The 14,758-nt window shown below is 47.9% G+C and overlaps 1 protein-coding gene and 1 long non-coding RNA gene across 9 annotated transcripts in view, besides 2 other annotated features; one reads left to right on the forward strand and one right to left on the reverse strand.

The window, feature by feature from the left end:
• The window catches only part of MAP3K2 (mitogen-activated protein kinase kinase kinase 2), an 89,798-nt gene extending 88,714 nt beyond the window's left edge, over positions 1–1,084 (reverse strand). For 2 of the 3 annotated variants that reach the window (NM_001371910.2, XM_047442990.1), the window contains exon 1: positions 71–594. The gene's annotated coding sequence lies outside the window, so the exon portion shown is untranslated. Of the gene's footprint in view, positions 1–70; positions 595–866 lie in introns of those variants that run through there. The other variant, NM_001371911.1, reaches the window with a different exon arrangement.
• Positions 14–883: a silencer, noted in NCBI's record as "silent region_11931". NCBI's record gives its function as "represses an Ori minimal core promoter by ATAC-STARR-seq in GM12878 lymphoblastoid cells {active_cell/tissue: GM12878}" and the evidence as "EXISTENCE:reporter gene assay evidence [ECO:0000049][PMID:35858748]".
• MAP3K2-DT (MAP3K2 divergent transcript) lies at positions 57–13,199 on the forward strand. Of its 6 annotated transcripts, none has more exons than NR_187129.1 (4): positions 57–171; positions 1,500–1,617; positions 1,730–1,804; positions 10,566–13,199. It is a non-coding gene; the product is annotated as an MAP3K2 divergent transcript (long non-coding RNA). The 6 variants fall into 6 exon arrangements; NR_187125.1 differs by lacking the exon at positions 57–171 and adding an exon at positions 836–1,003; NR_187127.1 differs by lacking the exon at positions 57–171 and adding an exon at positions 836–930.
• Positions 13,097–13,809: an enhancer, noted in NCBI's record as "H3K27ac-H3K4me1 hESC enhancer chr2:128158054-128158766 (GRCh37/hg19 assembly coordinates)". NCBI's record gives its function as "activates a minimal SCP1, AML or CMV promoter by ChIP-STARR-seq in naive H9 embryonic stem cells {active_cell/tissue: H9 hESC(naive)}" and the evidence as "EXISTENCE:reporter gene assay evidence [ECO:0000049][PMID:30033119]".

Genomic DNA, 14,758 nt, shown 5'->3' on the forward strand with positions numbered 1-14,758 from the left:
CCCGACACACACGCGCGCACACACACACACACACACACACAAGCGCGCGCGCACGCACACACGCACGTACCGGCTGCTCCGCAGGGACGTAGAGAGCCGCAGGCCCAAGGAGGGGCCGCCCCCGCCGAGCCCGCCCCTCCGCCCCAGCGCGGCCTGTCACCGCGGCCCCAGGTCGGGGGCTGCCGCAGGGCCCCCGGGGACCGGAGGGGCGCGCGAGGAGTCGGGCGCGGGCCTTGGGGCCAGGCCCGTCCCTCTTTCACATGAAGCCCGGGCCGGGCGGGGTGGCGGGCGCGTGAATCCTCGCAGCCGGCCGGGTCCTCCTGGCGCTCCTCGGCACTTCTAGCCGCTGCAACCCCGAGGCCCGCGGGAACTGGGCAGGAAAGGAGGAAGCCGCGGGCCCGCGTCGCTAGAGACCGGAGAAGAGGCGGGAGTGGCGACTCTGCGGACAGGGGCGCCGAGCGTCCTGGTCGTTGTTTTCGTCGCCGCCGCGGGCCGTGCAACCCCCGAACGCTGCGCCCAGCGGCCGCGGCACCCTCGTCAGGCGCCGCCGCTGAGGGCAGGCAGCCCGGCAGCCACTACACACGGACCCGTGACGTCGGGCGTAGCGCGGCGCACGTCACGGCCGCTCGCTCGTGCGCGCGCACCCCTCCGCCCGGCGGTAGCGGAACCCGCCGCGGGCGCGCGCCCGGCCCAGGGGAGTGGGTCGGCGCCTGCGCAGAGGCCCGCCACGCCCACACACAGGCCACCGCCCCCACCGGCCGGACGGCGCGGGGATTCCCAGTCCTGGCTCCGCCCCGGCCTCGGCCCCGCCCCCGCCCCTGCCCCGGGGCAGCCTGTGCTGTTCCGTGTGCGCGGCGCATACGCACCTGGGTTGTCTCGAGCCTGCGGTAGTGGCCAGATCCCAGACATCCGAGTAGATCCCGTGAAAAGGTCTCCCACGTGGGCTGTGGACAGGGCCCAAGGGTAGCAGAGCTAGCAGAGGCAGTGACGGACTGTGTGGCAGGTCATTTGCAAGGAGAAAAGCCGTCTGCCTCTTAATTTGTGGCTCAAGTTTCAGAATTTTTTTCCTGAGGGACTTTAGAAATTACTTCAGGCTTGCCACCTAACCTTAAACCACCCCCTTGGAGACTGGCTAAGTGTTATTTGTGTTTTCTGTTTAGTTCTTATCACCATCGATACTTGGTTATGACTGGTTGTGTACATTGGTTAGCCCAGCAAGTATTACTTCTCCAGCTTAACAGATGTGGAAACTTAAGCCCAGAGACATGAGTTGACACCCCACCCCCAAAGCTAGAGTCTAAAACCCTTTCTTTCGCTCCTCATCTCCCACAGGATAAAATGCAAATTAATCAGACTAGTGGTGAGGCCCTCCGTGGTGTGACTAACCTGCATCCCGACGTTTTCACCCTACTTTGATCCAGAAAGCACCTTTCCGCCCCATCTCTTCTCCTTTCCTTAAATACCCCTTACAACTTCCTGTACCATTCTTCCCTGTTCAGCTTCTTCTTGGTTTCTTCGTACATTCTGGATCCACCCCTTTCATGCATATTCCAGACCACATTTCCACTGGAGCAGTTGAAATGAGAGAGATGGGAATGGGACTCACCCGAACCAGAGGTAAGGAGCTACCCAACTTGGGCTCTGAGGGTCAAGGGAGCTGGCACTTGTGGGGCAGAGACTGAGGGAGAAACTGTTGTGTAATGTCAAAATATCTCTGGGTTTCTTCCAGGAATTTTTATTACAGACCCATTAACAGAGGTGTCAAAGTCACAGGAACAAGGATGTGCACCTCAGAAACACAGAGGTCAGTGGAAAATCAGTTTGCTTCTATTTGTTTAAAAAATGGGGGACTTATGCATAAATCTAAGACCTTCTTGAATCTAACATTCTAAGACCTGTATGCCACAGAAAGGAGGGTCTCAGAACGCCGGAGGATAGTATTTAAATCTTAAATATCTATATTGTTCTCCACAGTTACTGGGTCACCACATAGCAGGCATTCAATAAAAACGTGTTTGTTTACTAAGTAATCTAGAGATAAATTTTTTCCCCTCATAGTGCTGCTCATTTCTCCACTCCCTTCCCTCACTTACCACCCCGGGGACTTCATTCACCTCTGGGTTCCTCAGAAACATCCCGTGGGTATAGTTATAGTAGCTATTCTTTCTTTTTCGCCATTCTCCTTTTATATTGGTGACTTTTCCTCTTGCTTAGATATTAAATCTCTGACATCTTTGGTTATTTTAGTATATATGATTACAAATTAGTGATATTGGGATTTTTTTATTGATGAAACCATCATTCAATGAATATTTTTTTGCCTTCCTACTCTGTGCCTGGGATTGCAGTGATAAAATTATATAGTCCCCACTGCCCAGGAACTCAGAATCCTGTGAGGAAGGCAGACAGGTAAATGGATAATGATAACACACTGTGACCTGCATCATGGGAGGGATGTGTATCAGGCACCACAGCAGCAAGAGGAAGATGTCACAGGTGTGTCTGGGGAAGTGAGAGATGACTTCAGAGAGGAAATGTGGCATGTTCCTTTTCTGTTGCTGCATAACAAACTGCCACAAACTTAGTGACTTAAAACAGTGTCTGTTTTTTAGCTCCCAGTTATACAGATCAGAAGTTTGCACAGGGGCAAGGCTGAGTTCTCTACTCAGGGTATATTGCAAGGCTGAAATCAAGGTATCAGCTGGGCTGACTTTTTATCTAGAGGCCCTTGCAAAGATCTTCCAAGCTCATTCTTCTTTGGGGCACAATTCAGTTTCCTGTGGTTGTAGGATTGACATCCCTATTTCCTGGGCCTGCCTTCAGTTCCTAGAGGTCACCTGCATTCCTTGCCACATGACCCCTTCCATCTTGAAAGCCAGCGACAGAGACCTTCTTGCGTGCCAAACATCCTCCTACATCAGATCTCTCTCTAACTTCCTCTTTTGCTACCAGCCAGAGAAAACTCTCTGCTTTTATTTTTATTTATTTTTTTATTTTTGAGACAGAGTCTCACTCTGTCGCCCAGGATGGAGTGCAATGGCGCAATCTCGGCTCACTACAACCTCCGCCTCCCAGGTTCAAGTGATTCTCCTGCCTCAGCCTCCTGAGTAGCTGGGATTACAGGCACCCACCCCCACGCCCAGCTAAGTTTTGTATTTTTAGTAGAGACAGGTTTTCACCATGTTGGTCAGGCTGGTCTCGGACCCCTGACCTCGTGATTTGCCCACCTTAGCCTCCCAAAGTGCTGGGATTACAGGCATGAGCCACTGCACCCGGCTTTTAGAGAGTTCATATGATTAGATCAGGCCCACTGAGATAATCTATTCTTAACATCAACAGTGTCACATAACATAACCTGATCATAGGAGTATAATCCATTATATTCACAGTACTGAGGGTTATGCAGGCTATGTACACCAGCCGTCAGGGATCTGCAGGGACATCTTAGAATCTTGCTGGCCACATATTGTGCCATGGCTGGCAACTGAAACTTGAACGGGGGTAGTTATTTGCTGGAAGAAATAAGGATGGAGGAGTACGCATTCCAGGCAGAGGGAATCAAGTGTGTCCAAGCTTGGAAGTATGAGGGAACGTGCCCTGCCTAGGAATGGCAAGAGTTGCTGGCCACTGGGTGTTGAGAGAAATGCAGGCAGGGGGTGAAGCTAGAGAAGGAAGAGAGCTGCCAGGAGATTGGGAAGGAGGAATATTAGAGCAGGCCAAATTGCTGGGAAGGGAGATGAAAGTCTAAAGGTCTAAACCACAGCTGTGGCCATGAAAATGATACGAGTACTATTGGTTGGGATGCATTCAACTGCAGCGAGCAAGACACCTGGCCCAAAACAGCTTAAACAGTGAGGTTGATTTTGTCACATAACAAAAATCCAGTGGATGGATCCAAGGTTGGTTAGGGCTGTGAACAGGCATATTGAGAATCAATGGACGGCCACCTCAGCTCCAAACATGACCTCCCACACAGTAAAGAAGGGGGAACCATCCCTCTGTTTCTTTCCCTCATTCTTTTTTAAAATAAACTTTTTATTTTAGAATGTTGACGAAAGAGTCAAACTCTATAAAATATTTGAAGAGATTTGTTCTGAGCCAAGTATGAGTGACCATGGCCTGTGATACAGCCCTCAGGAGATCATGAGAACATGTGCCCAAGGTGGCCAGATTACAGCTTGGTTTTATACATTTTAGGGAGACATGAAGCATCAAGCAATACATGTAAAGTGTACATTGGTTCAGAAAGTCAGGACAACTGGAAGTGGGGGCTTCCAACTCATAGATGGATTCAAAGATTTTCTGATTGGCAATTGGTTGAAAGAGTTACTATCAATAGAAGATAATTTCTGGGTTACCGTAAGGGGTTATGGAGACCAAGGTTTTATCATGTGGATGAAGCCTCCAGATAGCAGGCTTCAGAGACAATAGATTGTACATGTTTCTTATTGAACTTAAAGAGTCTGTTCTGTCAGAAATTCCAAAAGGGAAGAGGGTAGAATGAGGCATGTCCAGCTCCCCCTTTCCTTCACAGCCTGAACTAGGTTTTTCAGGTTAACATTGGAGTGCCCTTGGCCAAGAGGAGGGGTCTATTCAGGTGGTTGGGGGCCTTAGAATTTTATTTTTTGTTTACAAGAACAGTTTTAGGTTTACAGAAAAACTGAGACAATAGTACAGAGACTTCTCCTATACCCACATTCAGCATTCATTTTCTCCTATTGATATGGTTTGGCTTTGTATGGCCACCCAATCTCATGTCAAATTGTAATTCCCAGTGTTGGAGGAGGGGCCTTGGTGGAGGTGATTGGCTCATGGGGGTAGATTTCCCCCTTGCTGTTCTTGTGATAGCAAGTGAATTCTCACAAGATCTGGTTGTTTAAAAGTGTGCAGCACTTCCCCCTTTGATGTTTCTCTCTCCTGCTCTGCCATGGTAAGATGTGCCTGCTTCCCCCTCACTTTCCATCATGATTGAAGTTTCCTGAGGCCTCCCAGCCTTGCTTTCTGTACAGCCTGTGTAACTGTGAGTCAATTAAACCTCTTTTCCTCTTAAATTACCCAGTCTTAGGTAGTTCTTTATAGCAATGTGAGAACAGACTAATACACCTATTATTACGAACTTGTATTATTAGTATAGTACATTTGTCATAACTAGTGAACCAATATTGATGCATTGTCATTAACTGAAGTCCATACTTTATTCAGATGTCCTCAGTTTTTTCCTAATGCCCTTTTTGTGTTCCAGGAGCCCACACTATGCTTAGTCATCACGTCTCCTTAGGCTTCTCTTGGCTGTGAGTTCCCTTGTTTTTGATGGCCTTGTGCTAAGGAATACTGGTTAGGTGTTTGGTAGAATATTCTTCAATTGTGAATCATGTAATGTTTTTCTCATGATGACACTGAGGTTATGGGTTCTGGGGAAGGAGACCACTGAAGTAAAGTGCCATCTTTATCACATCCTATCAAAGGTAGTCCATTGTCTTAGTCCATTTTGTGCCCTGTAACAAAATACCACAGACTGGGTAATGTGTAATGAACAGAAATTTATCTCTCACAGTTCTGAAGGCTGGGAAGTCCAAGATTGAGGGGCCCACATCTGGCAAGAACCTTCTTGCTGTGTCATCCTGTGGGGGAAGGGCAAAGAGAAGATGAGAGAAAGAGCAAGAAGAGTCAAACTCATCCTTTTATAAGGTGCCCACCCTAGATAATGACATTAATCCATTCATGACGGCTCTCCCCTCATAACTTAATCATAACTTAAACACCTCTTAAAGGTCCTACCTCCTAACATTGTTGCATTGGGGATCAAGTTTCCAAAACATGACCTTTGGGGGACATATTCAAACCATAGCAGGTATATACTGTCAGTATGATTTATGACTTGGTGTTGAGCTTGATCACCTGCCTGAGATAGTGTTTGTCAGGTTTCTCCCCCATAAAGCTACTCTTTATTCACCTCTTTCCATACTATACTCTTTGCAAGGAAGTCACTATGCTCAGCCCACACCTAAGGAGTGGGGAGCTATGCTCCACCTCCTTGTGTGTGAAGTATCTGCATAAATTACTAGGAATTCTTCTGCATGTGAGATCTGTCTCTTCTCTCCTGTTTACTTATGTAATCTTTTATTTATATTAATATAGAATTGTGGGTATATAACTTATGCTCTGGGTTATAATCTAATACTACATTACTTATTTTGTTGCTCTAATTATTCTGGGTTTGGCCATTGGTAGCTCTTTGATTTGTCTCCTGTGTCCCTTTGACACCCATCATTATGATTTTTTTTTTCCTTTTTCAGCACTTCTTTGCTTTCTGGCACTGCCAGCGCTCCAAAATCATCTTGAATATTTCCTGTCCCAGTCTAGAATCAGCCATTTTTCCAAAGGGCCCTGGTTTCTTTTGTTGGAGAATGGTGTTAGAGACCAATATCTGGTGCTAGGTGTGCTAAGGATTCTCTTTTCATTAAGGATAGTATTTCCAGGGCCAGGCGCAGTGGCTCACACCTGTAATCCCAGCACTTTGGGAGGCCGAGGCAGGTGGATCACCTGAGGTCAGGAGTTCAAGACCAGCCTGACCAATATGGAGAAACCCCATCTCTACTAAAAATGCAAAAAATTGGCTGGGCATGGTGGCATATGCCTGTAATCCCAGCTACTCAGGAGGCTGAGGTAGGAGAATTGCTTGAACCTGGGAGGCGGAGGTTGCAGTGAGCTGAGATCATGCCATTGCACTCTAGCCTGGGCAACAAGAGTGAAACTCTGTCTCAAAAAAAAAAAAATAGTGTTTCCCATCAGCCTCCCAGAAGACTACCCATTTTGTTTTTGCAGCAATGTCTGCTAATTGTGCCCCCAAATTCATTCTCCTCTTCCCATTGTAATCAAATTTTATCTGAGCATATAGGACTCTCATAATAAAGAGTTCATTCCCTAGCCTCCCTTGCAGCTAAATGTGACCAGGTGACTAAGTAATGGCAAAAGGGAAGTCAACTGAAGTGTGTCCATCCAGGGACCTTCACTGAGAGTCCCTTTCTTAAGAGACTACTGCTTTTACATCTTTCCTCGTCCCTTCCTCCCACACTGGAGTACTTGCAGGCCATCTTGGAGAGTCAGGACATGGGGCATACACAGGAATGGTGGCTCTGGGAGCAGAATCCCCTCCCTAATCTGGACCACAGGGCTGTGTAGTTTCTCATGGGAGATGTAAATGACTGTCCCTGGTAGCTGAACTGACTGCTAATAGTATCTTGTTGGCTGGAGTTGGGTCACATGGTTATGCATGCATAGAAGTCAGGATCACCATGATGGGTTCAGCCCACACGAGGACCACCGGGGGCTGGGCACACTGCCTGGCTATATCTAAGCAGAAGCCGGATTAGGTTACAAAGGAGCTGAGAGATGGATGGTTGTTGCCTAGCAGCCAACTGTGTTGGCTCTGAGAAGCTCATGGAGAGGCAAGACTTGGGGGACCAGAGTGGACTGTAGGGCCTACCCCATATATAAATGATGTTCCACAAATCTATTATGATTATCCCCAGGGCCACTTCACTGTTACAAGAAGCAAAACATTAGTAAATCTGATTTTTAAAAGTTCACAGTGCTGCCACAGCCAAACAAAAGTTATTTCTGGGATTTCTGCTGTGTGGAATGCCCACAAAGTTTTCTAAGTGTGGAAAGAGGCAATGTGACAAGATTTCTAACAGACAGTTGTCTTGAATTCTCTGTGATCTTGATCAGCTCTAATTCTTTTATCCATCAGTTGCTAGTACATTAACTTCTTACTTTAACATTATGTTTGTTATATATTTTCCATTGTTACACATATTTATAATAGAAAATATGGAAAACAGGAGGAAAAGAAAAAGCTCATTCCTTCTATAGTTCTGTTTCTATTCAATTTTTTCTCTATTCGTAAATCTTTGTTGTGCTGGTATTTTTTTATTTTTAGATACGTTTTTAAATCGTTCTTAGGTATTAATAGTTGTGATCTGTCCTATACATGCAATTTTGTATCTTACAGTTTTCACTTCACATGGCATAAGTAGTTTCTTTTTTCTTTTTTTTTTTTTTTTTGAGACAGGGTGTCGCTTTGTCACCCAGGCTGGAGTGCAGTAGTGTCATCTCGGCTCACTGCAACCCTCACCTCCCAGGTTCAAGTGATTCTCTCACCTTAGCCTCCCAGGTAGCTGGGATTACAGGTGTGTGCCACCATCCCTGGCTAATTTTTGTAGGCTTTTTTTTTTTTTTTTTTTTGAGTTGAAGTCTCGCTCTGTTGTCCAGGCTGGAGTGCAATGGCACAATCTCAGCTCACTGCAACCTCCGCCTCCCAGGTTCAAGCAAATTCTCCTGCCTCAGCCTCCTGAGTAGCTGGGATTACAGGCACGTGCCACCATGCCCAGCTAATTTTTGTACTTTTAGTAGAGACGGGGTTTCACCATGTTGGCCAGGATGGTCTCGATCTCCTGACCTGGTGATCCACCCACCTCAGCCTCCCAAAGTGCTGGGATTACAGGCGTGAGCCACCACGCCCAGCCGGAAAAGGAAACTCTTATACACTGTTGGTAGAATGTAAATTAGTACAACCACTGTGGAAAACAGTATGGAGATTTCTCAAAAGACTCAAAATGGAACTACCATATGATCCAGCAATCTCACTACTGGGTATTTATCCAAAATAAAGGAAATCAGTATATCAAAGGGATAGCTGCATTCCCATGTTTATTGCAGCACTATTCACAATAGCCAAGATATGGAATCACCCAAGTGTTCATCAAGAGTTGAATGAGTAAAGAAAATGTGGGCCGGGCGCGGTGGCTCACGCCTGTAATCCAAGCACTTTGGGAGGCTGAGGTGGGCGGATCACAAGGTCAGGAGATCGAGACCATCCTGGCTAACACGGTGAAACCCCGACTCTACTAAAAATACAAAAAAATTAGCCAGGCATTGTGGCGGGTGCCTGTAGTCCCAGCTACTCGGGAGGCTGAGGCAGGAGAATGGCGTGAACCCGGGAGGCAGAGCTTGCAGTGAGCCAAGTTCACACCACTGGACTCCAGCCTGGGCGACAGAGCGAGACTCCGTCTCAAAAAAAAAAAAAGAAAAGAAAATGTGGTATATATACACAATGGAATACTATGAAGCCATTGAAAACAATGAAATCTTGTTATTTGTAGCAACACGGATGATCATTATGTTAAGTGAAATACTCAAGGCACAGAAGGAAAAATATTGTATGTTCTCACTGATATGTGGAGCTAATAAAACATTTGATCTCATGGAGGTAGAGAGTAGAATGATAGTTACCAGAGGCTGGGAAGGGTGAGCGGTGAGGAGGACGAGGGAAAAAAGAGAGGTTGGTTAATGGGTACAAACATACAATTAAATAGAAGGAGTAAGTTCTGGTGTTTGATAGCACAGTAGGGTGACTATAGTTAACAATAATATATATATTGAAATGGTTAGAATAAAAGTTCTGAAAGTTTCTAACAAAAAGAAATGATAAATGTTCAAAGCGGTAGATATCCTAAATACCCTGATTTGGTCATTGCACATTGTATGCATGTATCAAAATATCACATGTACCTGATAAATATGTACAATTATTATGTATTGTCTGGGCACAGTGGCTCATGCCTGTAATTCCAGTACTTTGGGAGGTCGAGGCAGGCGGATTGCTTGAGCTATAGAGTTGGAGACCAGCCTGGGCAACATGGTAAAACCCTGTCTCTACAAAAAAAAAAAAAAAAAAAAAAAAAAAAGCCTGGGCCTGGGAGGCAGAGGTTGCAGTGAGCTGTGATTGTGCCACTGTACTCCAGTCCGGGCACCAGAGTGAGACTCTTTCTCAAAATAAAAGTTATTATTTATTGATAAATTTTTTTTAAAAAAATGCCAAATTGCTAACAAGGATAACCCATTTTTCGGAAGTTGGCTATTTGCTGGGAGCCTACTTATGTTCTCCACCACTGCAGCATCCCCCTAATGGTCTGATGGTCCACTCCTTACTTCCAGTGTCTTTGTCTTGACAGCAAGAAGAGAATTGTCTGTTTCTTCCCTTTCTCCTGTTTAATTATCTTATTGTCTTCCCATAATTTTCAATTCACATATAAGGAAAAAGTGGCAGAGAAAGGTCAGGTGGCTGTCACCAGGCCCCAAGGACACTTAATGGAGCAGCCAGAGAGGACCTCAGAACCACCTGACAGGCTCTCCCTCACTCTGTTCCATGGTACCTCCCAAATGCCCATCCCAGAGCCCCTCCCCACTGCCTAATGCACCAGGGCACCACTCCCTGTCTTGCCAATTTCAGCTGCCCCTCTGCCTCCAAGATCAGCCTTGCCATCCTTGACACCACAGGCTTCCTTCATCCAAGCCCTCTGAGCCCCTCTCTGGGCGGTTTGGAGGATGCTAAGCCCTCTCAGTGCACCATCCAGGGGGTCCATGTTGCAGAAATGAGTGAGGAGGTAGTTATCTTCATCCTCACAGCTCAGCATATGCCTCGACCCAGTGCGATGTAGATCCTTCCCCAACTGCTTCCTGCAAGTCAAGTCACAAAGGTTGGCATTGGTTCTTCACCATAGGCTAGCCTGGCTGAAGCTCAGCTGCACAGAGTCTGTCCTGAGAAGCAGAATGCCACTGTCCCCTGGGCCCTCCAGACTGCCAAGGCTGCTCAGTTTCAGAGAGCAGGCTCCCTGTGGCCTCACACGCCGGCTGCCAGCTGGGCCAGGTAACTCTGGCCAGGCTGCACTGTGAAGAACACGAGAGTCGGCGGAGACCTGTGCCTGCTCTTCTCAGCCTCAATGTCTGGAAGACAAAAAAAGGCATCCTGCTCCCAAGATTGTGGTGGAGGCCAGCAGGGTGACGCACATGAAAGCCACTGGAGATAGATGGCACTTGTTCCCACCCACTGCCCACAACAGGCCCAGGACTGCCTCAGCCCCGGTGGACCCCAGAGCCAGCAGGCCCTTCAGAATGGAAGGTGCCAAACACCATCGGAAGGCGTGGTTCTTTTCAGAGAACCAGACTCTGAGACTGTGGCCTCCCACTATGAGTCACCACCTCTGATTCCTGAGGTCCCCTCCAGTCATTGGCTCTCTCCCAAGCCAGCCAGCTGATCAGCCTTGAGGACAGCAGAGTGTCTGCCAAGAGAGATCTGTGAAGTTTCCCATCACCGTGGCAGTCCACAATGTGAAGCCCCTGAGGCCACCCTTCTCCATGTGTCCCCCACACTGTCCCTGACCCTCCCACCATCCTAGAAAACCAGCCTCCCAGGTCCTCTGTCATGGAAGTAATTTACAGCAAGGCAGAAAGAGCTGAAAGATTTATAAATGTGTAAAATTTACAAAGGTGTTTCTTTCTTTCTTTCTTTCTTTTTTTTTTTTTTTTTTTTTGAGGCAGAGTCTCACTCTGTTGCCCAGGCTGGAGTGCAGTGGCACAATTTTGGCTCACTGCAACCTCCGCCTCCCGGGTTCAAGTGATTCTCCTGCCTCAGCCTCCCAAGTAGCTGGGATTACAGGTGCATGCCACCACGCCTAGCTAATTTTTGTATTTTTAGTAGAGACAGAGTTTTTTGCCATGTTGGCCAGGCTGGTCTTGAACTCCTGACCTCAGGTGATCTGCCTGCCTCAGCCTCCCAAAGTGCTGGGATTACAGGCGTGAGTCACCGTGCCCGGCCTACAGAGGTGTTTCTGAGTGGAGAAACCACTGCCTGGTTGGACTGACTGCCCAGTTCCACCACCCTGTGAGCCCATGAGTGAGCTCACTGCACTTGTTATAGACATCCTACCACCAGCAGCCTGATTTTGCTGAGTCCGTAGCTTACAACTCCAATCTCATGGCCCTGCCTTTCACCTCACTTGCTGCCTTAAAAACCTGCAGACTGAGGTGGCGTAGAAGCTGTGACATCCCAGTACCCAGAAGTTCATCTCACACCCAGATCTTGGTTTCTAAATGTCATTCTCTACTAAAAGGGACCAGGGCTGGTACAGGAGAAGAGCAAGAGCTTGGAATATCTTATACCTGAGAGTAAGGAAGTGCTCAGAGAATCACAGGAGCACGTTAAAAGGACATAGAAGTCAGTTTAATGAGACTGCTTCTGGCCAAAGTTGGAACACATCAAACATTAAAACAATGATGGTAATGGATTAGATTCCATAGAATAAAATCCTTGAGGACATAGTTATATAAACATAACTGAGGAAGAAGGAAAAGCTCTCCCTAACAGAATAATACAACTAGTAAATGGGAAAGGAAAGGAGTTAGGAATTCACGCTGGGTATTGAAACTAGTGGGTGAAAGCTCAATGAATCGGATTCTTAGTCTCAATGTCTCTCCTCTCAATTTAGTAATTATAGTGGAGTAATCATGACTTTACAGTGGAGAAACCTGGCCAACACTACCTTCACAACACTAACAAAAACCTTGCAGACCTGCAGCCTAAGCTCCCAGAAGTCACCTGCTGAAATGCCTTCAAAGAGTGACCTCTCTGCGTGTAGTGCTCAGCAACTTGGGCTCAGTGTCTATTTCCACAAGCTACAAACCAGAATACAGTGGAATTCAGCCCATATGTGGTAATTTATCTACCAATCAAGGACCTTTGACTCCAAAAATTACCTTTTTTGTACAAGTGACTACCTGGTGTAGAGCTCAGACATGGCTTTGAATTTTTGCCATGCTGTGTGAGCTCAGGCAAGCTGCTTCACCTCTTTGAGCTTCAATCTTTTATCTATAAAATGGGAATAACAATAACTTAATGAAACAGCAATTCCAGTGTTAGGTATTTCCTCAGGAGAAATGAAAACACGTTCACACAAATAATTGTACATGTATGTTTCTACACGCTTTATTCATAATAGTCATAAACAACCTAAATATTCATCAACTGGTTAGCAGAGAAAAGAGCAAACCACTGATGACATGAACGAATTTCAGAAGCACTGTGCTCAGTGAAAGAAGCCAGACAAAAATTACATCTTACATAAATTTCATTTATATGAAATTCTAGTGAAGGCAAAACATATAGCCAGGGGCCAAGAGGGGAGGATGGTCTGCAAAGAGGCAGGAACTTCTTCCTGGGGTGATGGGAATATTCTGTGTCATGAACATCGTGATTGTGGTTACAAGACTATACTTTTGTCAAAACTCATCAAATTGTACACCTAAAATGGATGCATTAAGCCTCAATACAGCCAATAAAAGATACCTACGTTACAGTATCTTCTGAGGAGTAATGGGGTGATATATATGCAGCCCCAAGTTCAGTGCCTGTGGTGAGAGGAGTCCTAAAATAGTACCTGTGACCACGCCCCACGGTCTTAGACCTGGGCAGGGCAACTGTGCAGACAGCAGGCCCAGCCAGGAAGCAAGCTGGCAAGGCGTTCTGCAGCGAAGGTGAGTACCAGTGATGCAAGGTGGAATAAGAAAAGTGCCCTTTGGAGGAGTCACTTATGAGGGGAATGGGGAGCAGGGCAGCAGAGGCCCCTCTGCTGCTGGGAACCGGGCGCACTCCCGCCAGTCGCAGGAGCTGGCTCCACCCGCCCCTTCTGATCCAGTGTCCCGCAGTCCTGCCCGCTTCACCGCCCTCGCCTAGCCCCCGCGGGTGGTAAAAGTCCAGCCCGGCGGAGCGCCCCTGCCTCCTTCCACGCCCCTGGCCTGCCCTGCGCAGCTACGCCCAGCCCGCGTCCATCCCGGACCATCCTGTTGAAGGCAGTCCCCTGGCACGCAGGGCTGGGAGCTCTTAGCTGAGGATGGAACCGACTGCACCAGGAGCCGCTGGGAGGAAGGCCGAGGGGCGCAGAGGAGAGGCAAGGAAAAAACAGCAGCCCAAGAATCGGGCCTCCCTGTTACAGCAGGAGTCGCATCTATTTATATATGTTATGTCTTATTGCTCAGCAACCAGCTCTCGGCCGGGGCGTGGGCCGGGAAGAGGGGTCTCCTGGTGCAGCGGGTTGGCGTGACTCATCACCGCCGCGCACTCTGGCCTCTGGGCCTAGGTTAACAGACTCCCGGGTTTCAGGCTGGGCCCAGGCGGCCAGGCCCTCCCTGCTGAGGAATCTGGGTTGGGGCAGTGCCAGCTCCCTGCTTCTCACCTGGCCACAGAAGGGGTAGCGGGAGGAGCGTGGGTTCATGGAGGCAGGTGGACCACCCCTTGGCTCCTGGCTCTGCCACCTGTCCACTGTGTAGCCCTGGGCGAGTCACAGCCTCTGACATCAGCCTGCTTATACTGTAAAAGGAGTGTGAGATCATGTTGGAGGAGACACTACAGTGAAATCTAAATACATTTTAACTCTTCACACACCCTCTCCCATGCATTTGACAGCGAGGAAACTGCAGCCCGGGGCAAAGTTGACTCACTTCCCAAAGCCAACTAATTTGTACTTAGAAGAGGCAGGATTTGAACCGGGGCCTCTGTGGTTTAGAGCCCTGTGTATCTTATCACTGTAACGCCTACCTCATGCCCTCAAAATGCCTACCCATCCGAGGGGTGCAGAACTTGTGGGTTCCTGGGCTCACCCGATGGGATTCTCTAGGGGCAGCCCCTGCAAGGGTGGGGAAATACAGAATTCTCTCTGGTGTCAGGGTCGTGTGTCTCAGTCAGAAAAGCCCTGCCCCGGATGGTCTCAGGAATGAGGTGCAGCTGCCTGCCCACCTCAGCCTGCCTTCCCTTGCTATCAGCCGTTCACTTGAGATGCTAACCCCCTGTTATATACCTGAGTCACCTAACAGGATGTCTTCCAAGCACTGCACAGTGTCAGGTTTTGATTACCAGCTTCCT

This window comes from Homo sapiens, chromosome 2, assembly GCF_000001405.40.
Source record: "Homo sapiens chromosome 2, GRCh38.p14 Primary Assembly".
NCBI classification, from domain to species: Eukaryota; Metazoa; Chordata; class Mammalia; order Primates; family Hominidae; genus Homo; species Homo sapiens.